Source organism: Homo sapiens, chromosome 5, assembly GCF_000001405.40.
Source record: "Homo sapiens chromosome 5, GRCh38.p14 Primary Assembly".
In the NCBI taxonomy this organism is placed as follows: domain Eukaryota; kingdom Metazoa; phylum Chordata; class Mammalia; order Primates; family Hominidae; genus Homo; species Homo sapiens.
The window spans coordinates 75,582,495-75,610,059 of record NC_000005.10 but is presented as its reverse complement, the minus strand read 5'-3'; the positions used below and the strand labels follow the sequence as shown (position 1 = coordinate 75,610,059).

The window sequence follows — 27,565 nt, the reverse complement described above, 5'->3', positions numbered from 1 at the left end:
TTCTTTTGAAAAGTGAAATAATACAGAAGCAAGTCAAATTCTGACCCCCCAAATAAACTTCAAATAAGAAAGGTAATCAGGTTTTCATTTATTTATTCTTCTTACAAATTTACAAAAGATGTATCATTTTAATGTAAATTATGTAATATCAATGTTCATTTCAAACTTGTCAGTTTTTCCCTTCAAATTATTGTGCACCAAATTTGAGGCATTAAATTCAAAACAATGTTTCCTAATCAATGAAAAAACAAACATGACAAAATATTATTTATTTTATCAGAACACCGCCCATAACCTCAAACTTTCCTCTTTTAAAAAAGGGAAATGGGCCTAATGTTTGTAATAGAGATATGATAAAAACAATAGCAGGTAAGTTGAATTGAGTATTATGCAGAAATATCAGACAATGTACTAATATGGAAAGTATAATATGTAAATGGAAAAACAGGGCACCAAATTATATGTATATGTAGCATGTTTACAAGTAAAATTCTAAAAATCAAAAGAAAATACCCACACAAAAGAAGGAATAATAGTGAAAACAGCAGCAGATCAATGGAAAGCATACAGCCAAGTACAGAAAAATCTCCCAGTCTGGGTAACAAAGTGAGACCCCCTCTCTACAAAAATTAGCCAGGCATGGTGGTGCATGCCTGTAGTCCCAGCTACTTGGGAGGCTGAGGTGGGAGGATGGCTTCAGCCTGGGAGGCAGAGGTTGCAATGAGCCAAGATTGTGCCACTGTGTGCCAGTCTGCGTGATAGAGCCAGACCCTATCTCAAAAAAAAAATTTTTTTTTAATATAAATAAAAAATAATTTTAAAAAAAGATCTGAATTGTGTTATCCAAGTTTGAAACTGCTTTCAAATTCTAAACCAAGAAATTTACTTTTAAAAAAATCCTCTTATCAATGACAGGAGAAAATGCATCATCATTTTATGCTATATAGCCTTATAATAGTATGTGGTACTTATCTTACTCTAACAGATGAGACAAAAACTCCAAAGCAGTGCATTATGTGAAACTTAGCCATAGCTGGACTTTATTTCCCTGACAGCTTGGGCTAAATAAGAAGCTATGAAGTATACTGTGGGAGGTATTTTCTTTTTCACTCTGTTTCAAATATCAGGTTAGTTCTCAAGCAGAATATTAATTCTAAGCGTGCTAATACATAAAAGCTTGCCCACATGATCTGGCCCTACTCATCTCTCTGATCTTGGGCCCTACAATTCTTCTCCATTCTTCATCCACTGTTTCCTGGTGGAGAGCCATCAGCTTCTATTTCCTCCCTTTGCCTAGAACTTCTCTCCCCCACCTCCACTTCCGAATTTTTAAAATAGTTTTGATCCTTCGTATCATTAAGGTTTCAGGTTAAATGTCACTTCCTCAGAGGAGCCTTCTCGGATCATCTTATTCTAAAAGTGTCCCCTACCTTCATGTTCCATTCCCTTATGCTGTTGTCTCTTTCCTTTGTAACACTTACCACTGAAATGTCTATTTGTTTAGTGTCGGTTTCCACAACTAGAATGTAAACTTCATAAATACAGTGATTTTTAAAACTTTGTTGGGCCAGGCGTGGTGTCTCATGCCTATAATCCCAGCAATTTGAGAGGCCGAAGTGGGAGGATGGCTTGAGGCCAGGAGTTTGAGGCCAACCTGGGCAACTTAGTGAGACTCCAGTCTCCACAAAAAATTTAAAAATTAGCTGGTGGTGGTGGGGCAGACCTGTAGTCTTAGCTACTTGGGAAGCTGAGATGGGAGTATGGCCTGAGCCACGGAGGTCAAGGCTGCAGCAAGCTGTTATCATGTCACTGCATTCCAACCTGGGTGACAGAGCAAGACTCTGTCTCAAAAAAAAAAAAAATTAATTAAGTTTCTTACTGCATCTCCAGTGGCTAAAACAGTACCCGACCTGCAATAAGTATTTGTCAAATAAATATGGAATGCAATTTAGCCATGGGAACAGTAACTTGTCTTTGAGTCCTGAAAGCTTTAAGTTTTTCCCCTAAAGGTCTAGACTAAAAAAATATGTTCAATTCTGAAGTAAACCTTTAAAACCAGGTCCTGTTCAAGGATTCCATATTTTTAAAAACATCTTCCTAGATTTCTCTTTGCCCTCCTCTACCAGACGATTTCTCCCTAGACTCCCACTTTGTATATTCATCTATTATAGCCCTCCCTACATTGAATAGAAACTGTCCCTGGGGTGGCTCTCCATTTTTTGAGGACAAACATGTCTTAATAATCTTTATGTCCTTTATCAGCTAGGATTCAGCTATAATTAATAGGAAAACCCAAGTAACTATGGCTTAAACAATTTTTTAATTTGTTTCTTGTGAAAGTCTCAAAGTGTGCAGGCCAGTGCTGATATGTCTCTGTTTTACAAAGCCCCAAGAATCAGCCCCTGCAGCCCACTACTCTACCATCCCCCTGTGCAACCCTTATGTTCAGGTGTAAACGGCAGCATCTGCTTCCAGGCAGCAGGATGGAACAGAGAAATAGAAAGAAGAGGCAAACAGAATGCTACAGCTGCAAGAAAGGAAGGTTCCCAGAAGCAACCACACACAGTACTTCCTTTTTTTTTTTTTTTTTTTGAGACAAGGTCTCGCTTTGTCACCCAGGTTGGAGTGCAGTGGTGCAATCTCAGCTCACTGCAACCTCCGTCTCCCGGGTTCAAGCGATTCTCTTGCCTCAGCCTCCTGAGTAGCTGGGATCACAAGTGTGTGCCACCACGCCCAGCTACTTTTTTGTATTTTGAGTAGAGACGGGGTTTCACCATCTTGGCCAGGCTGGTCTCGAACTCCTGACCTCAGGTGATCCACCCGCCTTGGCCTCCCAAAGTGCTGAGATTACAGGCGTGAGACACCGCACCCGGCCAGTACTTCCTTTTATATCCCATTAGTCAAAACTCAGTCACATGGCTACCCCTAGCTGGGAGGGTGTGAGCTTCAAGGATGGGAGATACATTGTAGTCATCAATTCTGTAACACCTATTTTTCACATTATCACATCTTTTTAATTGAGATACTAAGTTGTCTGCCTGAATTGAAGTTGAGTTCTTCCATAGAGGATTTGCATATGCTTCTGCCAGTCACTAGGGGCAATACTAACCTCACTTTAATTACATTTTCTGCTTGAGCTCTTTAGGATGATACCATTTGTGTGAATTCAGATTACAAGCCTACATGTGTACTGGTTTATGGTTCAAATTCTCACTGGCAGTCCCTCCTTCCAACCAGTGCCAAGGCTGAGCATGCAAATTGCTTTGCTGTGGGGAAAAGCAAGAGAGATCAGATTGTTACTGTGTCTGTGTAGAAAGAAGTAGACATAGGAGACTCCATTTTGTTATGTACTAAGAAAAATTCTTCTGCCTTGAGATTCTGTGACCTTACCCCCAACCCCGTGCTCTCTGAAACATGTGCTGTGTCAACTCAGAGTTGAATGGATTAAGGGCGGTGCAGGATGTGCTTTGTTAAACAGATGCTTGAAGGCAGCATGCTCCTTAAGAGTCATCACCACTCCCTAATCTCAAGTACCCAGGGACACAAAAACTGCGGAAGGCCGCAGGGACCTCTGCCTAGGAAAGCCAGGTATTGTCCAAGGTTTCTCCCCATGTGATAGTCTGAAATATGGCCTCGTGGGAAGGGAAAGACCTGACCGTCCCCCAGCCCGACACCCGTAAAGGGTCTGTGCTGAGGAGGATTAGTAAAAGAGGAAGGAATGCCTCTTGCAGTTGAGACAAGAGGAAGGCATCTGTCTCCTGCCTGTCCCTGGGCAATGGAATGTCTCGGTATAAAACCCGATTGTATGCTCCATCTACTGAGATAGGGAAAAACCGCCTTAGGGCTGGAGGTGGGACCTGCGGGCAGCAATACTGCTTTGTAAAGCACTGAGATGTTTATGTGTATGCATATCTAAAAGCACAGCACTTAATCCTTTACATTGTCTATGATGCCAAGACCTTTGTTCACGTGTTTGTCTGCTGACCCTCTCCCCACAATTGTCTTGTGACCCTGACACATCCCCCTCTTTGAGAAACACCCACAGATGATCAATAAATACTAAGGGAACTCAGAGGCTGGCGGGATCCTCCATATGCTGAACGCTGGTTCCCCGGTTCCCCTTATTTCTTTCTCTATACTTTGTCTCTGTGTCTTTTTCTTTTCCAAATCTCTCGTCCCACCTTACGAGAAACACCCACAGGTGTGTAGGGGCAACCCACCCCTACACTTTGCTCCCTCTTTCTTCATGGAAGATTTCTCCTTTATCCTTGCTCTGAAGGTATAAACCTTGGTGTCCCATATTTATGCAGTGGTAACCTGTTAGACTCCCTATCTTAGGTATTATTTCTTAGTGGTTTATAAAGAATTGATGAAATACATTAGTCTATTCTGGGTGATCATGTGCCAAGCTAAAATTCTAATAATATGGCAGAAAAGTAGAATGTTGAAGGACAACCAGGATCTCTGCCCAGAATTGCTAGCAAAACCCAAAAAACCATGGCGTATCTCAGACTTGCGGATGGTTTCAGAGATCACATTTGAAGTTTAGCATATTCTGAGAGGGAAAAAACTTTTGAGCCTTCATAAAAGAGAACTAGATTTGATCCTAGAAGTGACCCAACTTTTTTTTCCTTTTTGTCTCCAATTTAGGGAATCTCTCTCTCTCTCACTCTCTCCATAGACACCCAAGACCATGAGTGATATTAGGAAAGTATTGTCTACAAAAATGCACAAGATGATCTAAAGCAGGGAAAGAAACTGGTGAAAGCTAAGCAATGAGTTAGAAGGCCAGATATTAGACAACTGATAAGAACCTGATAAAAGAAATGGAAAGAAGTGTTTTCAAGAGGCCCTACAAGAGTAGACAGAACTCAATGATAGGTATGTGGTTGGCAGAGGTAGTGTGTGTGTGTGTGTGTGTGTGTGTGTGTGTGTGTGTGTATGTGTATACAGGAAAGAGTTTGAAATCATACTACACTTTACAGGCTGAGGTTAGAAGGGTTAGTACCATTTGCCTCTGAATTATCTTTAATCTCCCTGAGCATTCTGTAGACAGCAGCAGTTACAAAGTAAGACTATCACAATTACCTCGTACTGGTAAGGGGAACAGTTCAATATTATGGTTTGCTTAATAAATGGAATCATGTTGCCAATAGTCACCATGATGTCATTTGAGTTTTTCTTGAACAACTTAATTCAGTTATGTATTACAAAGCAAAAGCGATTAGTCCTTAATTATACAATTAAAGAACAGTTTTTTCTCCAGGGAAATAAGCATCACCTCTCTGTGAGGTTTACTAAAATCCTACCAACACAAAGTGTGTTCAAATATATCACTGCTTTTCAAAATGGAACCTTACTTCAAAGAAAATTCAGTACCAGGGCCAGGCATGGTGGCTGATGCCTGTTAATCCCAGAGCTTTGGGAGACTGAGGAAGGAGGAATGCTTGAAGCCAGGAGTTCAAGACCAATCTAGGCCACATAGCAAGATCCTATCTCAACAAAAAAATACAAAAACTTAGCTGGGCATCATGGCACCAGCCTGTAGTCCCAGCTACTTGGGAAGCTGCGATGAGAGGATCTTGATCCCAAGAGTTCCAGGCTGCAGTGAGTTATGATCATGACAATGTATTTCAGCCTGGGTGACGGTGAGACCTTGTCTCTAAAAACAACAGTTCAGCACCAGGTACACCAGGTATGATTTTTTTAAATGAAATATTTCCTCAAAAACAGTTTTTTTTAGCCCCAGGTTAATAGTCATATTTTAAGCCTTCTTCCAAATACTCCCAAGCCACTCCAAAACGACACAGTATAATAATAAAACATGTATAAAGCAAGCCATTATCTAATAAAGGGAAATAAATGCAATTGTCTCTTTCTGGAATGTCCACTCTTTAGGACCCAGTGTGACAGCAGCCCTTAGCCACCATTCTGTCTTCCCAGATAAAAACAATAAGATAGTAGTAAACACTTTTGGACACATACTATTTATTCATTTACATGTCAACAAATGACTCTCCGTATCTACTGTGTGCCAGGCCATACACTTCATACTTGGAATTCAGAGATAAGTGAAAGATAGCCCAGGATCTCTTGGGGCCTACAATCTGGTAGGGAGAAACCAACATCGGGGGCCATGCAAAGAATGTTTCAGGGTCTTTGTAGGGAAACAGGAGCAAAAAATAGTGACTGATCAATTTTTCCAGAGGGCAAGGAACACTTTTCTGAAGGTGGCCCTTGAGCTGAGTTGAAAGATGAGTAATTATGTAGGTGGGAGAGAGAAAAGGGGCATTCAGGAAGCATATTCTGGGCAGAGGGAACAATGGAGCACAGATGCCAGAAAGGAGAAACAGCTTGGTCTGTTCAGGAAACCCTGAATGCCAAGCCAGTGTTTAGAGTGCATCATGGACAGTGATATATAGGAGCTAGCTTGTATTGGCTTGCAAGAGCTGTTAAAGTTTCAGGAATTTTGTGAACTGGCTGACATCACATAACTTGAAATCTGTCATGGTGGGAGCATTTACACCACATAAATAATCATACACTAAAAATCACTCCCTTTTCCTACTCATTCCACTGCTAAATCTTGGAGACAGTTGAGAGCTTTTGAAAACTGCTTTTTTTTTTTTTTTGACATGAGAGTGCTATTATGGGAATGCTGTTTATAGCTAATCTGTAAAAAATGCATAAGATGGTTTAGAGCAGGGAAAACTGACAAATCAGTTGGAAAGTCAAGAGTTTAGACAACTGATAAGGGCTTGACAAAAGAGATGGAAACAAATGGATATTTTCATTTTCAAGAGGCCCTACAAGAGTAGACAGAATTCAGTAACAGATACAGGGTTGGCAGAGGTAGCAGTGGATACAAGGTGGATGAGTTAAAAAGTAAGGAGTAGTAAACAAATACATTTGTTAATGATGGCAGAAAAAATATCTCCTATTAATTGCTACATCTCTCTTGCCTTTAACTTACAGCCTTCTTACATATATGCCTATAACCACTGTCTACATTTTCTTAGCACAAAGTTCCTTCTTAAGTTCTGTTATATGGCTTCCATTACCCATGTTGATGCTGAAACTTCTTACTCTAGAAGGCCACTTCTTCAGTGGGGACACTGACCTTGCGGATACCACAAGTCCCATGCTAACTTTAAAATAAAACATTTCTGGTGGAGTGAATTAAATTTATAAATACTTCTTATAATGCTACTTTTCCTACTATCACAAAAGATTGAGGAAAGGTGTATAGCTCTATATTACAGGGACAATGTAAAGACTGATATTAAAAAAGAGACCTTTGAATTACATTGAAGAGAGGATTATACACATGCAAAGAAATTATTAGGCCTATGTCATTTGTTGTTTTATATGCATATATTCAAAACGCATAGCCCATCCTCCTTGAGACCCCCTAAACATGTTACGAATTTGAAGTGTCTCTGCATTATTCAAGTGAGGCAGGAAAAAGTTACTCTAAGTGATCTTTCTTTTTTATATTTTATTTGAATACAATTCTAATAATTTGACATTAATGCAGTAAAGGGTTAACCTAGCAGCCTCAGGTTACTCCAGCCCTGCACTTTTCAAAGAGAGGTGTCTTCACGTACTGGCCCTTCCTTGACTAGCTCCTGGGAAATGACCTGAGCTCGTGGAATTTCCAGTTTGATAATAGTGTTCTAGTATGCCTGAGGCCTTGGGCTGCATTTTGTTAGTTTGACGAGATAGTTTATGCTAACAGTATGAATCATGGCGAATGTCTGTTTTTGAATGGCTGAAGCCCTGGGCCATGAGGTATCACTACACCCCTGGGGTCTTGAGACTCAACGGGTAAGGTCAGTCACATGGGTGATGCATGCCTATGTGACTGACTTCCAGTAAACACCTTGGACACCAAGGATTGGTTGAGCTTCCTTGGTTGGCAATATTTTGCACATGCTGTCACACATTTCTGGGAGAATTAAGCATGTCCCCATGTGACTCAACAAGGAAGAGGCACCAGGAAGCTTGTGACTGAACTGATACAGAAATAGGGTACTGCAAATAACAAAGCCTAATATAACAAATTGACTTAGGGTTGGAGAGAAGAATTTAGGGAGTGGGGACACAAATACCACAGACTGGAAAACTGGTGACTTGTTTGGTGGTGTATTAGGGTCCTCTAGAGGGACAGAACTAATAGATGTATATATGAAGGGGAGTTTCTTAGGAAAATTGACTCACACAATCACAAGGTGAAGTCCCACAGTCTGCAAGCTGAGAAGCCAGGAAGCCAGTCTGAGTCCCAAAACCTCAAAAGCAGACAAGCAGATGGTGCAGCCCTTCAGTCTGTGGCTGAAGGCCTGATAGTCCCTGGCAAATCACTGGTGGAAGTCCAAGAGTCCAAAAGCTGAAGAACTTGGAGTCTGATGTTCAAGGGCAGAAGACATGCAGCACAGGAGAAAGACGGAGGCCAGAAGACTTAGCCAGTGTAGTCCTTCCACCTTCCTCTGCCTGCTTTTATCCTAGCTATGCTGGCAGTTGATTAGATGGTGCACAACCAGATTGAGGGTGGATCTGCTTCTTGAGCCCACTGACTCAAATGTTAATCTTCTTTGGCAATACCCTCACAGACACACCCAGGAACAATATTTTGCATCATTTAATCCAATCAAGTTGACACTCAATATTAACCATCACAAACGGCAAAAAAATATTTGGTCTAACTGTCAACAGCTGTCTTTGGAAAGAAGACCAAATACTGATTGAGGCTGTAGCCTTAGGGGAAATGCTAGGAGAAAAACTAAAAATTTTGCATGGGATGGCTCTTTCTTGCTGTGTTCAGCAAGGTTCTAGAAGAAAAAAATGTATTTTTTTCTCGATTGAAATTAGCTAGCCTGCAGAGTTGGAGGAAAATATCATCTTGTTAACGAAAGCAGTTTTTGCCATTTTTTTCTCTTTATTATAAAGGTTATATATGAACAAGAATATATAAAATATATATGTATAAAGAGTATTTTAAAAGTGAACATCCATGCAATCACCACCCAAGACAAGAAATAGAACATTGCCAGCATCCCAGAAGCACCAGGTGCCACTCCCCAATCACACTGCTGTACTTCTCCACAGAGGAAATCATTATTCTGGTTCTGGGGACAGCAAAACACTTGCTTTTCTTTACAGTTGTATCTCATATATATAACTATATACCCTTAAAACAATATAGTTGTTCAGTTTATACTGTTTTAAACTTTATACAAATGGAATCATGTTGATGGCATCCTTCTGTGATTTGCTTCTTTTGCTCTATGCTATGTCTGTGATATTCATCTATGTTGTGGTTAGCTATTTCCTTCATTTTCACCACTGTGTAGAATTCTACTGTTTCAATATAAATGCCATGGTACAATTTAACCATTCTACCATTGCTGAATATTTGGTTCATTTCTAACTTTTGGATATTGCAGTGCTGCTATGAACATTAAAAAATTTTTTTCTTGGCCACCTTCCTGACTGGGAAGAACTTTCTTGTACATGCTTCCTAGGATACATGTTCATTAGTTTTCCCAAGGCATTGTATTAGTTAGGGTCCTGACAGGGAAAAAAATAACTGTAATGAAAGATAACCTGCAAAGATGTATACTTCAGAGTGCAATTGCTAGGTTTTGAGCATGTTTATCTTTAAATTTACTGAGGGACAAATTTTTCCACAGTGATTGTTTTCAATGTAAGAGCTGACATCATCACCAAAACTTAGTATCATTAGATCATTTCATTTTTGCAAATAAGGTAAAGATGTAATACCTCCTTGTAGTTTTATTTTTTACTTCTCAAATATTAATATGGCTGGGAATATTTTCATGTTTCTTGGTCATCTGGATTTCCTTTCACTTGAAATGCCATATAAAGTCTTTTGTCCAAATTTCTATTGACTGTCTTTTTCTTACTGATTCATAGGGATCATTTATATATTCTGGACACTAGTTTTTCACCAGTTATATATATTGCAAATACGGTGGTTCTTTATATTAGGTTTATATTAGGTTCACTAAGTAGGTGAGATTATGCATGCTTATTACCAGTTCTTGTAGTTTTGCTGTATTTTCTTCAAATGCCCCAAATCAAAATTATAATAAAAAGAAAATGGGTTGGATATAATAGACAAAACAGGTAGTAAAGAATGTGAAGAAAATTCTGGGCACAGAAAACAAAAGTGAAGGCATAAGAGGGAGGAAGAGTGGAAAAGTAGAAAACCATCTCTATTAGATCAATTAAAGCTTTAAATTTTATTTCAAATGATTAAATATTACTAAATGATAATATTCAACTACATAAATCCTTAAATGAAAATAATTTAGCATTTATTCTAATATTGAAGATAATAAAAATAAACCTAAGGCAAGACAGAAAATAATTCACTATGGTACTATTTACCTTTCAGTACATTAAATCAGTGTTTCATTGAACTTAAATTTGTACATAATTTACATAAGTAAATCACACCATCAAGAACCATAATACTACAACTTTGTATTTGCCATAGTGTATAATAACATCAGTCATGGGATTGGATTGGCATGCTAGCAGGCATTAAGCCTAATTTGAAGAATCTAGTAATTAAAAGTCTAGTTACCACTTTGTCAAAGTCTGTGAGTTCTTAATTAAGCTATTCCTAAAATATTATAATATACAAAATATATATTTAGATCATAAGCTAAAATATGAAACGCAAGGGGAGAGAAAACAAAAATATAAAAGATTTAGCTCCTTAAAGAAGTAACAGAAAATGGCTTCCAACTTCATGTTGCAATTAAATAATAACTATTATTATATTATTGAGACAGAGTCTCGCTCTTCAGGCTGGAGTACAGTGGCAAGATCTTGGCTGACTGCAGCTTTGACCTCCCAGGTTCAAGTAGTTCTCCTGCCTCAGCCATCTGAGTAGCTGGGATTACAGGCGTGTGCCACCAAGCCTGGCTAATTTTTTTTTTTTTTTTATCGTTTTAGTAGAGACAGGGTCTCACCATGTTGGCGAGGCTGGTCTCAAACTCCTGACCTCAAGTGATCTGCCCATTCGGCCTCCCAAAGGGCTGGCATTACAGGTGTGAGCCATTGTGCCTGGCCTAACTAATTATTTTTTGAGAAGAACTCATTGATAGCACAAAAGTACTTGGAGAAACTACTTAAGCTAACTACTATTAAGCTGTCTTCTTTCACAAATATTAATAAAAGTACTGATAGAAATGTAACTAAGATACATAATGTGTTTTAATACACATTAATCTTTTGAATTACACATTTTCTCTTGAGGATTATAATAAAATGATGGTACAATTTATCCTTCTTTATAGATTTGTGGAAAGTACCAACATAATTGACAAGAAATGAAATACTGCCATTTAAAAGTCCTGTATTAAAATAAAACTACTTTGAATCATCTTAGACTAAATATTTTAAAAACTGATTCAAGTGCTTATTCATAAGATAATGGAATTTTAAATAAGAAAAGCCAAATTAAAAATTATATTTTAGGCAAAAACCATTTTAACACAGATAATACTGTGATATTTATTTTCCTGAAGAAAACCACTTATGCTAGTTACATTAATACTCTTCATAGAACTTAAGATAAATTTTAATTATGAATGCTCATGAAGTATTTAAAGACACTAGGATCAATGCCAACAAAGTAGTTAAGTGCTGAAAAATTCTTATGATAATATAGGCATGTGTGAATCTTTGAGAGCCCTTACAAATGTTTTTATATTCAGTATAAAAATAATAAAAAAATCACCTTCTTATCCCATTCCTAATTTCCCTTTTAAGAATTATCTCTTAACAGGATTGATTTCCAATTGATGTATAATGGAAGTAAAATTCTCATGGTTATAAAAAAGATACACAGAATCAGTATATGTATCTTAGAAAAGCAAACATCATCTGAGGAAGGATTATTGCACTTGCCTTCACTAAATAAATCTGCAAACTTAAAATCAGAAAGAACAAATTCATTGATTATAAAATAACTAGTTTCAATTAAAAATTAATGATAAAATGTTCAATGTTTACTTAAAAAATATATCAAGGGTATGTTTGGGATTGTTTGGTTTTATTTTCTTTGATGTTGAGTACTTTGTCATCAATCCTGGCCTAGAATGAAAAGGAACACACAATTAAAATGCAGGAAGAGATTCTAGAAAATAATTCATTTTTAATATTGATTACTTAATAATTTATAAAATAATTGAATTTTCATATTGTAGCCAGCTTTATTAAAGCTCAAATTAGCCATACCTTTTTGTTCTTGTTACAGCCTTCTGTACTCCACTTGAGCTACCTTTAGAGGAAAGAAAGTCAAGAAATTCCATAATGAATAATATGAAATAATTAAAAAGTTGTATACAAATTTAAAAAGTTAAAACTTATTGATTAAACTTCCTTAGTACTATATAGTTCATATGTAAACACACCAAAAACTATAATTTCTTTGTAATTTACTAATTTTATTAGCATTACACTTAATTTTATTGGTGAAATTTGGGTAGAGTCAGCACTACCAAAAAATAAGTTAAAGAGGCTTTCTAGTTATGCAGTTATAGTTAATTTACCACTGTGCCTTCACAGATGTTCTCTGAAGGAATTTGTTTGATTAGATCACTCAGCTCCTTAAACCTTTGAGTTCATTCTGTGCTAAATCAAGATCAAACCAAAGTTTTCCCCAAATTCACAATCTACAGGCTTGAGTTAATTCTAACCTATGGCAATGTAACCAACATTTCCCTAAATGGCGGCATACACAAACTACCCATTTAATAGTATATGTTTCAGATTTAACAACAATCTCATTAATTTTAATAATACATATTCCTAGAAAATCATGCAGTTTAAAACAATTACACACTTACCAGTACTTCTGGAGCTTTCTTTGGGTTGATTAACTGGGTTAAATTTATCCTTTCTTAATTCTTGGATAAAACTTTTATTTAAGCAAACATCCACATGCACATTGAACAGGGTTAGATCTGAAGTCTTTTGTTCTACGTTACAAACAGGACAAACTAGAGCTTGGCCTGTTTTCACTTCACATAAGTAAGGCTGGCGGTATTCTTGTCTAAATGATCCAACATCTTCGTTTTCCAATGAAACAGTAGAAGAAGAATTCTGATGACAGTGTTCAATATTAAAAGACTTGCTTGGGAGACTAGAACATTCTTCCTTGCTATGCTTATTACTTAAAGCATCTATGCTTTCTGCTTTAGATGAGTTATCTATAGTATCTACTAAAGCTATACAATCTACTGAAGATATTTCTTTAATTTTTGGATGGGCTTCATAATCTTGCTTCTCACAAAGTGAAGAAGCAGGAACATTTTCTTTCTTGTTAACTTTGGTAGCAGAAACATGTGAACACGAGAACATTTTAAAGTTTTCACTGATTGAAGGTCCATCAAGACATTCATCTACATGTTTATTCAAGGCTTCCAGACTGATGCACCCTTGAGCCCTAAAGCAAACAGGACAGGTAAGTATCTGACAGTCATCTGAATTCTCTGATATTTCCAAATTCTCATTCATCTTCTTCTTTAAAACTTGGAATGGTTGTGATGTCTGGAAACTTTGTTTATTCACGGCTTCACATTTAAATGTATCTTGGTGACTCCATTTCCTTTCTGATCGTTTTTTATCAAAGAAACTCTTCTTATGAGACATTTCTAGAGGTTTTACAAACTTATCTTTGTCAGTTTTCTCTAATGTACACTCAGTGGCTGACAGGGCTTGGTTTCCAGCCTGTAAAAAGCCAATAATGCTCCTTTGTTGGTGTTTCCTGTCCTCTTCATTGGGAAAACTAGATATCCGAACACCTAAATTAAACCAATCACAATCAATTTCAAATTGAACAAAGCCAATTCACTCACAATGCATAAAAACATTTTGTCTAGTGCTATGACATATACAAAAGGTTGGCTAGAGAGAAACTATAAGTAACATTTCAAAGCTGGTATTATAAGTACAGATTTACCTTCCTTTATAAAAGAATATCATTAAATATTAACTATTTGGAGTTAGTATAATGATGTAGGATTTTAATTCATATGTGACACATAATACCATTAAATTAATACCAGTAACTAACTGGAGTCAACTATACAGACTCTTTAGCTCTTTTTTTTCTAATAGACTTTATTTTTTAGAGGAATTTTAGGTTCACAGCAAAATTGAGCAGAAGGTACAATGAGTTCCCAAAGATCCCCTTTCCCTACACATGCACACCCCTCCACCACCCCAACTATCAACATGTGGCACTAGAGTGGTACATTTGTTACAATCTATAAACCTACACTGCCACAACATTGTCACTCAAAGTCCATAGCTTACATAGGGTTCACCCTTGGAATACATCCTGGGCGCTGGACAAATTTATAATGACGTGTCATTATAGAATCATACGGAATCATTTCATTGCCCTAAAATTCCTGTGTTTTGCCTATTTATACCTCCTGCCCCTCTTAACTCCTGACAATCAATTATTTTTTATGGTACTCATATTTGCCTTTTCCAGAATCTCATATGGTTGGAATCACACAGTATTTAGCTTTTTCAGACTGGCTTCTTTTACTTAACATTATGCAGTTAAGTTTCATTCGTGTCTTTTCATGAATTGATAATTCATTTATTTTCTGTGCTGAATATTATTCCACTGTCTGTATGTACCACAGTTTATTTATCCATTCACGTACCGAAGGACATCGTGCTTGCTTCAAAGTTTTGGCAATTATGAATTAAGCTTCTATAGATATCTGCTCTTGGGCTTTTTTTTTTTTTTTTTTTTTTTTTCTGAGGTGGAGTTTCACTCTTGTTGCCCAGGCTGGAGTGCAACAGCGTGATCTCAGCTCACTGCAACTTCCCGGGTTCAAGCGATTCTCCTGCCTCAGCCTCTCAAGTAGCTGGGATTACAGGTGCCCGCCACCATGTCCAGCTAATTTTTTGTAGTTTTTGTAGAGATGCAGTTTCACTATGTTGGCCAGGCTGGTCTTGAACTCCTGACCTCAGGCAATCCACCTGCCTTGGCCTCCCAAAGTGTTGAGATTACAGGCGTGAGCCACCGCGCCCAGCCTGGCTCTTTCAATTAACACTTTATTCAGTTGATTTCAGTGTGTGCTATATCTTTCATAAATAAAATTATGGCTAGTGACCCACTCCTTACTAGTAAAATGTGCATTTGGAGTGGTGATCCACATATATACTTTCAACCAGTACACTTTGGAAACATGGCTTGTTACTTTTTACCATGTAGTGGCTGGAGATGTGATTTCACAATGTCACAATCCTTTATCTGTAATTCCAAAATCCAAAAAGTTCTGAAAATTGTAAGCAACAAGTGATACCTGATGACTAAATTAATGTCATCAGTCTTTACAGTCTCTGAATATTTTGTTTTGCTACAGAAATATTAATGTGTTTGAACAGGGGGTGTTGCCCCAGATCCACAAAGAAGTATTACAACGTAATATACTCTACATGCACTGAATTTGCTTTCTAAAATCTGAAAAGTTTTGAATTTTGAAACACACCTGGCCACAAGAATTTCATTAAGTTATAAGGAAAATAACAACTTTAATTGACCCTTACTGGAATTAAACTAATGATCATGGCTTCACACATCAGGGTCTAATAACTAAGACAAATGGCAGCAGCAAAGGAAGAACTTCGTAAACAGGTTTAAGAAATAAAATGAAGGCGAGAATACAGGTGCTCATTGAGTTACAGTAGGATTGTATCCAGATAAACCCGCTGTAAATTGAAAACATAATAAGTCAATTTACAATACTTTCAATTTATGATGGGTTTATCGGGATGTAACCACCTTGTAAGTCAAGAGTGTACTGAAAGCATACAGCTTTCCCACTGTCGCAAAGTTGAAAAATCATTAAGTTGAACCATTGTTAAGTTGGGGGCCCCCTGTATTCCCAAAGTTGATTATTTGGGAAAATCTAGCAGATTTAAGGAAAAACAAAAAAATGAAAAAGTCATACCCATAAGCCTTAATCTCAAGGGATGTGGAAAATCAGCATCAATTTCTGTTTTTAGCAATTCCTTAGCAATGGCAAATATTTCTTCTGCAGTAGAAACAACAGATGAAACTGTAGATGCACGAGTTTTTACTTCAAAATTCACATTCTTCAACTTAATGGTAACAGTTCTACCCTATAACATATACAATATGTTATTTATTTATTTATGAGACAGGGTCTCTCTCTGTTGTCCATGCTGGAGTGCGCTGGCACAGCTGTAGCTCACTGCAGCCTTCAACTTCTGGGTTCAAGCAATCCTCTTGCCTCAGCCTCCTGAGTAGCTAAGATTACAAGTGCGTGCCAGTACACCAGCTAATTTTTTATTTTTTTGTAGAATCAGAGTCTCACTATGTTACCCAGGCTAGTCTCAAATTCCTGGCCACAAGCGATCCTGGCCTCCCAAAGTGTTGGGATTATAGGCATGAGCTACTGCACCCAACCAGAATACATTATTCTGTATGACTTCCTAACTTCTAGAAAAAAGTCATTTACATGTTAGAAAAATTCAGAAAGGTTTACGGACATAAGAATATGGAATTATAACCAATTATTTATAAAACATGGTGATAAACATATCATAAAGAATAAGAGGCCGGCTGCAGTGGCTCACGCCTGTAATCCCAGCATTTTGGGCGGGCGGATCACGAGGTCAGGAGTTCAAGACCAGCCTGGCCAACATGGTGAAACCCTGTCTCTAATAAAAATACAAAAATTAGCTGAGCGTGATGGCAGGCACCTGTAATCCCAGCGGCTGGGGAGGCTGAGGCAGGAGAATAGATTGAAGCCAGGAGATGGAGGTTGCATTGAGCCGAGATCACACCATTGCACTCCAGCCTGTGTGACAGGGCAAGACTCTGTCTCAGAAAAAAAAAGAATAATTAAAATACCATTTTAGCCAAAAACGTTTACTTCCCTTTCCAAACATAAGCTAAAATCCCATTTTATTTTGTTTTTGAGATGGGGGTCCCATTCTATTGCCCAGGCTGGAGTACAGTGGCATGATCGTGGCTCACTGCAGCTTTGACCTCCCAGGCTCATGCTATCCTCCTACCTCAGCCTCCCAAGTAGCTGGGACTACACACTCGTGCCACCATGCCCAGCTAATTTTTACATTTTCTTTGTAGAGACGTGATTTTGCTATGTTGTCCAGGCTGGTCTTGAACTCCTGGGCTCAAGCAATCCTCTGGCCTCAGCTTCCCAATGTGCTGGGATTACAGGCATGAGCCACTATGCCTGACCTAAAATCCCATTTTAGCCAGTAATTTTTATTCCCCTTCCCAACTGAATTTTTTTGTTTGTTTTTTTTTTTGTTGTTTTAGACAGAGTCTCACTCTGATGCCCAGGCTGGAGTGCAGTGGCGGGATCTTGGCTCACTGCAGCCTCTGCCTCCCAGGTTCAAGTGATTCTCCAGCCTCAGCCTCCAGAGTAGCTGGGATTACAGGTGCCCGCCACCATTTTTAGTAGTGATGGGGTTTCACCATGTTGGCCAGGCTGGTCTCAAACTCCTGACCTCAGGTGATCCCCCTGCCTTGGCCTCCCAAAGAGCTGGGATTACAGGAATGAGCCACCGTGCCTGGCCCCCCAACTGAATTTTTATAAAAGACCATTACAAGAGGGAAAGGTTAAATGATCACTTTTATTTTTACTGAATCTCTTTTGGAGGTTGATTAATTACCTACAAAGGAAGGAAAAAAATCTTTCTAAAAGTGTCTCACTGAAAACGACTTATGAATAGTTCACACTTATTGTGTGCCTTCTGCATTGCCAGATGCTATGCCAAACAATTTAATGTAAGAATTCCCTTTACACTTAGTGTTTTATGAGTGCAGGGTTTCAGTGGAGACAATGAAACAGTTCTAGAGATGGGTGGTGGTGATGGTTATAAAACAATATGAACTGTACACTTAAAAATGGTTAAAATGTAAATTTTATGTTATGTATATTTTAGTATCCCCTGGAGGAGGAAGTTAATTCCTGCTCTCTCTCATCTGAGGGTAGTTAGATTTACTGACTTACTTCCAAAGGGAAAAACACTAACTTCACAGTGGAGAAGCCTAGCAAACACTAACCAAGTGATGAAGGTTAATATCAACCATGACATCATGTGGCTATTATACACCCCATGATAGGATGTTATGAGAAGGACACTTCCTCTTTGTGATACTCTTTCTAAAAATCCATAACCCTGATCTAATCATGAGAAAATCATCAGACAAACCCAAATTGGGCGACATTCTGCAGAATACCTGTATAGTACTACCCAACACTGTCAAGGTCATGAAAAAGAAGGAAAAACTAAGAAACTATCACAGACCAGGAAACTGGAGAGACATGACAGCTAAATGCAATGTAGTCCCCTGGACTGAATTCTGGAAGGCAGAGACGACATTAATGGAAAAATAAGTAAACTCCAAATAAAGTCTGGGGTTAATAATTGACAATGTATTAAATGTCAGTTTCTTATTTTTGACAAATGTACTCTGGTAATATGTTAATAATGGAGGAAACCAGGTGAGGAGTATGCTGAAATTCTATTATTTTTGTGACTTTTCTGGAAATCTAAAATGATCATAAAATTAAATGTTTATTTAAATATTTTTTAAAAAGAAAATTCTTTAAATTCAAGGTATGATAGAGAAAGATACTCATCAGATATTCCACTCTTTGTAGTAATTTTTTTAAAACAAATTTTTTACTGATTAGCATAATAGTTTTACTGATGCATTATATGAACATAGTAAATTATCACATGTACCTCATAGTTTTGATCTTTGTAAAGATCAAATAAGTGTACTTCGGATATCTATCACCTTAAATATTTGTATTTTCTTTATGCGAGAAACATTCAAATTATTCTCTTCTAGCTATTCTGGTATGTAACACAGATTACTGTACACTATAGTCACCTTACTGATCTATTGAACACTAGGTCTTATTTCTTCTATCAAACCAGATATTTGTACCTGTGTAGCAATTTTAAAATACCTTTTTATTACGCTTTGTACTGACTCTACCTCTGGTTTGAGAGTGTTGGGAATACACTAAATATAAATTGTTGTGAGTGAAGATTATAAAATAGCAAGTTCAAAGCCTTATAGGTTTTGTTGTCCTGTGTTAAGCAACCTGGACTACAACCTTGAAACAAAATGCCTATTTTAGAAGGTCATTGTCTAAGTAAGAAAAACATTAAAGGATGATTGGAAAGACATTTGTAATATGTGAATACAATTCTCTGGAAATCCTTTCTTTTGCCTTATTCTCTAATGCCAGTGTAACTTTGGTTTTAACTTATTCAAATGTACTCCTGAGGTACAGAAGTAAAGTCCTCTGAATTATACTGAACCACTCTATTCTCATAAGGTGCTTCTTCATAGAATCACCTCATCACAGACTCCAGATATGGGTCAGAATTGGATTTGTATCTGACTGTTGGGGATAGGAATACACTATTCTGACGTTTATTAATTTGTATTCATCTTTAAGAAATGTGTAATCTAACTCTAGCTTTTAAGGTAGCATTTTACTATTAAAAAACTTAAAAACTAAGGACACCATATCAAAATAAAGCACCTTAAGTCTTTCTTTCTGTAGATCCTGAGCAAGCTCACTGCAAAGTTCTTGACATAGGCTGTATTGCTCTTCCGCTTTATTTATCTCACTGAATGTCCTAGAAAGACAAGAATAATTTTGGCGCACAAAGTAAACTATAATCCAGGATAATTTGGAAATGGTATGCATGTTTATATGGCTAGCATTAAGTTATATTTTTCTGTATTACAAAATAAAGTTTTCAGATGAACTAAAATTTAATTAAGTAAAAACATCTAAGATCTATATAAATAATGGAAACCCACCTAAACAGGAAAGCTTGATTAGCAAAGAAACAATTTTATGCTCTTGCTCTATTATATCACAAAAAAGATAATTAAAATTACCAACAGATAATGGTAATGCCTCCAGAACTTAAAACAGATTAGGGTATATGTATATATAGACTTTATTACAGAAGATTATCTTAAGAAAGTCCAAATGAGAACATCATTCCAATTACTGCACATGGATTTTATGGATGAGAAACATCTTTAAGTAGATTTAAGGGGTTGGCTCATGGAACCTACGCAGAGTTGTTTAATAGACAGCTGAAAATAGAAGGCTGATAAGATTAAATGTAGGTATTTTGAATTCATCTGCAAAAAAGTGTTGAAAGAAGTTGACAAGTGATATTAACTTAAAAGAGGATAATACAAAGAGACCAGAATGATGAGTATGGACCCTGAGCAAGTGACTCTTCAGTAAAGAGTCCCCTTTCTACTTCTAACCTTATCCTCAGCTACTCAGTTCTCTTCCCTAGTGGCAACCAATGTGTCAGCTTCTTATTCTTATGAATTCCTTAGAAATATTCCACGTATACGGGCGCCTGTAGTCCCAGCTACTCGGGAAGCTGAGGCAGGAGAATGGCGAGAACCCAGGAGGCGGAGCTTGCAGTGAACCGAGATCGCACCACTGCACTCCAGCCTGGGCGACAGAGCGAGACTCCCTCTCAAAAACAAACAAAAAAAAGAAATATTCCACGTGTGTGTGTGTGTGTGTGTGTGTGTGTGTGTGTGTGTGTGTGTGTGTGTATGTGTGTATATATATAAAATAAGCAAACAAGAAGACATTTTCCTCTCATTTTTTATATAAACAGTAGAATTTTAGATACATTGTTTAGTACCCTGCTTTTCTCAATTTATCATGGTGAGAGTTCCCCATGAGTAAATGATTTCCTCATTTTTATACAGCAGCATAATATTCTAATTTAATGATGTAAGGTAATTTAACCAATTCTCTATTCATGGATATTACAGTTTTTTTCTATCATAAAAAATGCAGTGAGTAACCCTGTATATATGTAAAATGACATGTGACTAAATCTGTGGAATTAATTCTTAGTAAAAGAATTATGGCATCAAAGTACATGTGTATCTGTGATTTTGATACATATTATGAAATTTCTTACCCCCTGTGGTAGGCTAGATAATGGTCCCTAAAGATGTCCACATCCTAATCCCTGGAATCTGTGAACCTAGTATCTTACATGACAAAAGGGATTTAGCAGAGGTGATTAAATTCTGACGGACAGAGATTACTCTGGAATGTCCAGCTGTGCCCAACGTAATCCCAAGGGTCCTTATAAGAAGGAGGCAGGAGGGTTAGAGTCAGAGAAAGAAGTTGCTGAGGCTATGAGCCAAAGATTCTGTGGCCTCTAGAAGCTTTTCATAAAGAAATGGACTCTCTCCCAGAGCTTCTAGAAGAAATGGAACTCTACCAACACATTAACTTTAGAACCGCTGACTTTCAGAATGATAGAGAATAAATTTGTTTTGTTTTGAGCCACTAAATTTGTAGAAATTTGTTTTAATAGCAATAAAAAAACCTAATGTACTCCCTCTAAAGTTTACACATTTTTCACTCCTACAGTCTTGCCAATAGAGTATGTTAGAATCTTTGCCAACCTGACTAGTGAAAGAAAGGTATCTGAGAGAACTTTCAATCTGTATTTCTTTAATTATAAATGAAAATGGTAGTAATTTCACTTGTTTTAAGAGCCATTTGTATTTCCTTTTCTGTTAATTATTTAGAACTTTGTTCATTTCTTCTGTTGGCTTACTGTTCCTTTTTATTGATTATGAGTTCTTTCTATATTAGAGAAGTTAGTTAGTTTGTGATATAAATTGCAACCTCCTTTCCCCCAACTTCATACCAAATTTGATGTTATATTGCCCATTTTAGAAAGCCAAGGGGAGAAAGTTTCCAGAAAAAAAAAGTGGAGAACACATTCCTGTACATAAAATAGTTTTCCCAATAGCAGAGAAAATGGCAGAGAAATTTATCAAATATGGCAATACTATTTTGCTTTTGGATTTTTTTTTTCTCTCTCTCTTTGATTGCTTTCATATGGACCAAAACCTAAAATAGCAATTTTTATCAAAGCCATTTATTATGTTGTATTGTAAAAGTTAATCAGCTTTTCTGACCACAAATAATATATGTGAAATATGAACACAATCTTGTACTAGGTCAGTGTTTTGTTTTGTCTTGTTTTGATTTTGAGACAGAGTCTCACTCTGTCACCTAGGCTGGAGTGGAGTGAGTGGTGCCATCTCAGCTTACTGCAAACTCCACCTCCTGGGTTCAATTCTTGTGCCTCAGCCACCCAAGTAGCTGGGATTAAAGTTTAAGCGACCACACCGGGCTGATTTTTGTATTTTTAGTAGAGTCAGGGTTTTGCCATGTTGGCCAGGCTGGTCTCGAACTCCTGGCCTCAAGTGATCTGCCCACCTCAGCCTCCCAAAATGCTGGGATTACAGGGGTGAGCCACCTTGCCGGGCCCTAGGTCAGTGTTTCTTAAATGTCTCAGTGGAAACTTGCTGCTTTGAGGAGATAATTGAGGGATGTTTCAAACAATGACTTATTTCCCCAAACGGTAAGTTTCCATCATTATTTCATTTGGTTTTCAAACAGGATTGTAAACCACTAAACTAGATCATCTTTAAGCTCTCTTTTATCAGTAATATTTTACTGTTTGATTAAGCTTCTGCTTAATCACCAATGTTGAAAGAATTTTAGGAAGAATTCCCATTGTTACTTCTTAAATTTCCGAAGTAAATACTCAATTGTCCTTATAAACAAGCTAGAAATTAAGATATGAAATTCTAAAATGCTTGGTTTTCACTAGGTAGGATTAAAACCAACATTAAAAAATAGCTGAAGTTAATTTTTGAGATTATAGCAACTGAAAATAATAGTCTTATACTAAGGCATTTATTGCAGGGAGTGTAAACTACTAAAAACTGTTATAGTAATTTGCAAATAGATTTCTTATTTCAGTGATATTTACTAAAAATTAATTCAATATTAGTTTAAAATAACATGAATTATGCACAATTAACAATAAATAATAAAACATTACCTCTCAACGCTCATACTTTTCCTCTCTCCATCCCTTGAAATGAAAAAAAAAGGTCTTTATTTTTCAAAGACTGAGTTTTTTTTAGTTAACCAAGAGGATTTAACATTATCAATTACCTTTTAGAGCTCTCAAATTTTTTATTAAAATTTATACATCATGAAAAACAGTTTTTTATCTAAAAACAAATCACCAAAGAACATAGGTAGGTAAGATGCTAATATGATTATGAATCAAGTCTATATCTATTGAAGAGAACAAACTTGAAAATAGGTAGATATTAGAAATTGCTTCTATTAAAAACCTGACTATCAAAAACCACAACTTATAAAAACAAATAGGAAGTGATAGCGTAATATCTTCCAGTTACAAAATATAATTAAATGTTAAATAATTTAAAATCAGTTATCTAGTTTTTGGTTTAGTATATTAACTTCTTTCTCCCATAGCCTATTCATTATTCATTTATACCACTCTATAATAGAACCTCAGTCAGAATTTGGTACACAGCTATAGGATGAAGATTGGGAATCTGAATCACCTAGTTTGGCTGTATTCTAGCTGCTCTGACAGGATTAGTTAAAACCAAAAAGTTGAAATGACATGTAGAGTACTCATTTTCCAAATATTTAGTGAACCTATTATGATTCAAGCACTGTTCTAGAACTTGAGGATATAGTAATGAAGGAAATAGACCAAGTACTTGCCCTCAGAAAACTTATATATTGGAGAAAGACAGATAACAAATATAGTAGTAAATATGGAATGGATTAGAATGGGAGAAGTACTCAGATTAAAAAGCAAAGCAGAATAGGGGAATAGAGAATATGGACAGAGGGAAAGGCAGGTTTGGTATTTGTTATTATAAATTACCTATGAATTGCATGTAAAAGCCTTACCTGGATCTCTAAATACCACAAGTTAATATATGTTATGTTACATCAGAACTATATTGTTTTCAAGCACTATGGAAATAAAAAAATTTTTGGATTAAAAATAAAGTTTTATTTCCTGCTATCTTCAAATATAATTATTTATAGTGCTGTGATATCTTCATCTTTCATTATGCCCACTGAAGATCAAAGTCAGCTAACTGTGGACTCAAAAGATTGAAGAGCAGGAAGAGATGAGAAAAGCAACACAACAAGCCTTGCAATCTCTGTAAAATTTAGTAGGCTTAATTAGTCCATCAATTTTATATGCATCCTCATTGATTTCTATTGTTGTCCTTTAGTTTAAATACAAGAATATAAAGGAGTCATTTTGAGGACAGGCTGACAAGGTGATGACAAAATTGTAAAAATAGTGCCCAGAGTTGACTTCCACGATTCCCAGTCTTTTAAAATTTCCTTCTTTTCACCTACTATCCCACAACAATTTACCTTCTACCTCTAGGGTTCCTCTTTTTAAGACCTAGATGAAAGAGTGGCAGGGAAGAAAACCCAGGGTATTTCCTCCACCTGTTCCCTCTTCCAGCCTTTGCATGGCTGGCTCCCTCAGGTCTCTCCGCCTTTGGATGATGGTTGCTAACCCTCACACTTACCCCCCAGTCATTTTCTATACCCTCACTCTGCTTTACTTTCTTCATTTGTTTATTTGGTTATTTTCTATCTCTCACACTAGTCTGTAAACTCCATGAGGGCAGGAATTTGTCCTATTCGCTGCTGTTATCTACAGTGCCTAGAATAGTGCCTAACACAAAGTAAAGTAGTCAGTACTGAATGAATGAATCCGGAAAAGAAAAGAAATGTAGTTTAAGGCTTTCGAAGAATCATTACATCTCCTTCCTTAAAGGGTGAATTATGGAATACGGCCATCTTTCTTTCCACAACAACCTGACTACTGGCATTTCTCTTAGGTTCTGAACAAAGAACAAGGTAGGGATAAAAAAGAAACTATCATTCCTCTTGTCTCTCTACACAACTGCTGACACCACAACCTAGGAGTGATTCTTTATTCTTCTTTTCTTTCCTCCTACATCCAATCTGTTGACTCTAATTCAAACATTATATTTTGAATTAAACTAGCCTGAAAGAATTTTAAAACATGTTATCCATATAGCCTCATCTCAATGGTTAAAACTGATATTGCAGCAAATGCTGAAGAAAAAGCAGAATGACAATACATATAGATACCTCGTCAGGTGTGTTGAACCTAGACCCAAGGAGATATGAAGGAAATAATGCCAAGATGTTTCAGAGAAAAGGAGAGAAAGCAATGCCCTCTGTTGGTAAAGTTCTGTACATGTAATAATTCCAAGGGCCTTTAACATTTTCTCTGTAACTTTTCCTATTCCAGAAACCTAGAAAAGAATCAATATTTATTATTAATAGATTTTAAAGTGAAGCTAAAAATTGAGATTACAACCTCATTACACTTTTTTTTTTTTTGAGATGGAGTCTCGCTCTTGTTGCCCAAGCTGGAGTACAGTGGTGCCAAGTTGGCTCCCCACAACCTCCACCTCCTGGGTTGTTCAAGCGATTCTCCTGCCTTAGCCTCCTGAGCAGCTGGGATTACAGACATGCGCCACCATACCCGGCTAATTTTGTATTTTTAGTAGAGATGGGGTTTCTTCTTATTGGTCAGGCTGGTCTTGAACTCCTGACCTTAGGTGATCCGCCCACCCTGGCCTCCCAAAGTGCTCATTATATCTTTTATCATCGATAAAAGGTATGAATAATGTGACTATCTTCACAAGTCATGCAAGAAAACTGCTTTAATTACTTTTTGACCACATTTACTAAACTAGCGTTTCATGGAATTTCAAAAGGCATTAAAAAAGGAGTGCTGTTGTCATATAAACTTGGGGAATGGTGGGATTGACAAATTTAAGTGAAACTTTTTATTCCAAGATTTATGAATTTTTAATATATTAATATGCATAGTGACACATCAATGGTACATTCCAAAGGTATCTGACCCCAGAACCTTTTTAAAGGGAATATCTATCCATACTTGAAAAACATATTGGAAAACACTGCTTTGCAGCTACTCCTCACATATACTAGTCAGTAATCATTACATATTACATACTGAGCATTGAAAAATATTTAAATTCATTCATGTACATTATGTTGAATGAGAAAAGCAAGTCCTAGAACATCATATACAGTAGTGCATAGTGCAATTACTGAAAAAATAGTGTATATATGCAGAAAAATCTAGAAGCTCTAAAAAATAATAAAGTATACACTTTCTGGAACCCCTGAGGGATAATTTTACCATTTTAAAAATGGCAAAATATTTTGGTTTATTCTCTGTCAAAAACAATTAAAATTCTAAATCTCTTTGAAGCATCATGCCCATTAATCTAGTAGCAATCTGGACTTTAGAACTAAGATAGCACTAAGTTACAGATGAAAGGACTGTTAGAAATATTCTTTTAATTTCCCTTCTCCTTGGCAGTAGTTCACTTAAAAATCTGATTATTACTTTCTTAAAAGTTTATAGCAAATAAGCTAAATCTCACTTTTATGGTTTCATAGAAAGGTTTCTTCAAGTCCAAATTCAATCATCCATTATAGTTCTTGCTTTTATCTATTATTTTAAAACTTTTAAGCAAAGAATGATTAACTATTGGCCTACACAGTATCTCTTCAGAATTCAGAGTACATATATAAATAAACTTTATGTAAAAATCTTACCTTTCTAATGGGTAAATCCTTGATGAAGTCCATCACAGCTTGTCTATTGGGAAGAATTTGGTATTGTCCATTTGGTTTATTCTTATCACTGCATACTTTTGCTAACATTGTATTTGGGGCAATGCCTTAAAAGAAGAATACTCTGATGACTCAAAGAAGTTGATATGTATGACTTTTAAATATGCAATAACAAAACAGAAAAAAAAAGTTAATTGCAAAAAATCTCAAATGATATATAATGCTACTTTAAAAATAACATTTGATTACCATCTATCTCCCCAGGGTTTGCTATGGTTTTAGGAAAATAAATTGTACTAGTTACAGTCATTGTGGCAGCAAAAATGAGAAATATTTAATTCTCCATGACATTTTAAAATGTAAGAGTAATTTCTGAGCTAAGCAATATTAAGTGTTACTATTAGCTTACTTACTACCTTTAGTAGGAATACAGATTTTTTTTTTTTTTTTTCAGATGGAGTCTTGCTCTGTCGCCCAGGCTGGAGTGCAATGGCGTGATCTTGGCTCACTGCAACCTCCGCCTCCTGGGTTCAAGCGATTCTCCTGTCTCAGCCTCCCGAGTAGCTGGGATTAGAGGCACGCAACACCATGCCTGGCTAATTTTTGTATTTTTAGTAGAGATGGGGGTTTCACCATATTGGTCAGGCTGGTCTCGAACTCCTGACCTCAGGTAGTCCACGAGCTTCGGCCTCCCAAAGTGCTGGGATTACAGGCGTGAGCCATCATGCCCAGCCCAGATTGTTTTTATAGTGGTTCTATATCTATCTCTAAGAAAAGATACAGAATATAATTTAGGGTGGATGTTTACTCTTTGAAAATGTCTTTTGCGTAGATTATCCACATAAAGCAAAAAATCAAAGATTCTGGTTACAGTATATTTAAAATAATGATAATTAGATGGTGTA

The 27,565-nt window shown here is 36.7% G+C and overlaps 1 protein-coding gene across 29 annotated transcripts in view, besides 1 other annotated feature; it reads right to left on the bottom strand.

Annotated features, from left to right (window-relative positions):
* Nucleotides 69-27,565, bottom strand: part of POLK (DNA polymerase kappa) — a 99,218-nt gene continuing 71,721 nt past the window's right edge. For 21 of the 29 annotated variants that reach the window (XM_054328411.1, XM_054328417.1, XM_054328410.1 and 18 more), the window contains 8 exons: nucleotides 26,643-26,767; nucleotides 25,134-25,300; nucleotides 23,002-23,034; nucleotides 19,620-19,716; nucleotides 16,011-16,182; nucleotides 12,882-13,838; nucleotides 12,271-12,313; nucleotides 69-12,126 (listed from right to left, as the gene is read on the bottom strand). In XM_054328411.1, the coding sequence (XP_054184386.1) occupies nucleotides 12,042-12,126; nucleotides 12,271-12,313; nucleotides 12,882-13,838; nucleotides 16,011-16,182; nucleotides 19,620-19,716; nucleotides 23,002-23,034; nucleotides 25,134-25,300; nucleotides 26,643-26,767 (1,679 nt within the window). In that variant the 3' untranslated portion in view covers nucleotides 69-12,041. The other 8 variants (NR_170559.3, NR_144315.3, XR_008485566.1 and 5 more) reach the window with 6 other exon arrangements.
* Nucleotides 20,845-21,429: an enhancer, noted in NCBI's record as "OCT4-NANOG hESC enhancer chr5:74884456-74885040 (GRCh37/hg19 assembly coordinates)". NCBI's record gives its function as "activates a minimal SCP1, AML or CMV promoter by ChIP-STARR-seq in naive H9 embryonic stem cells {active_cell/tissue: H9 hESC(naive)}" and the evidence as "EXISTENCE:reporter gene assay evidence [ECO:0000049][PMID:30033119]".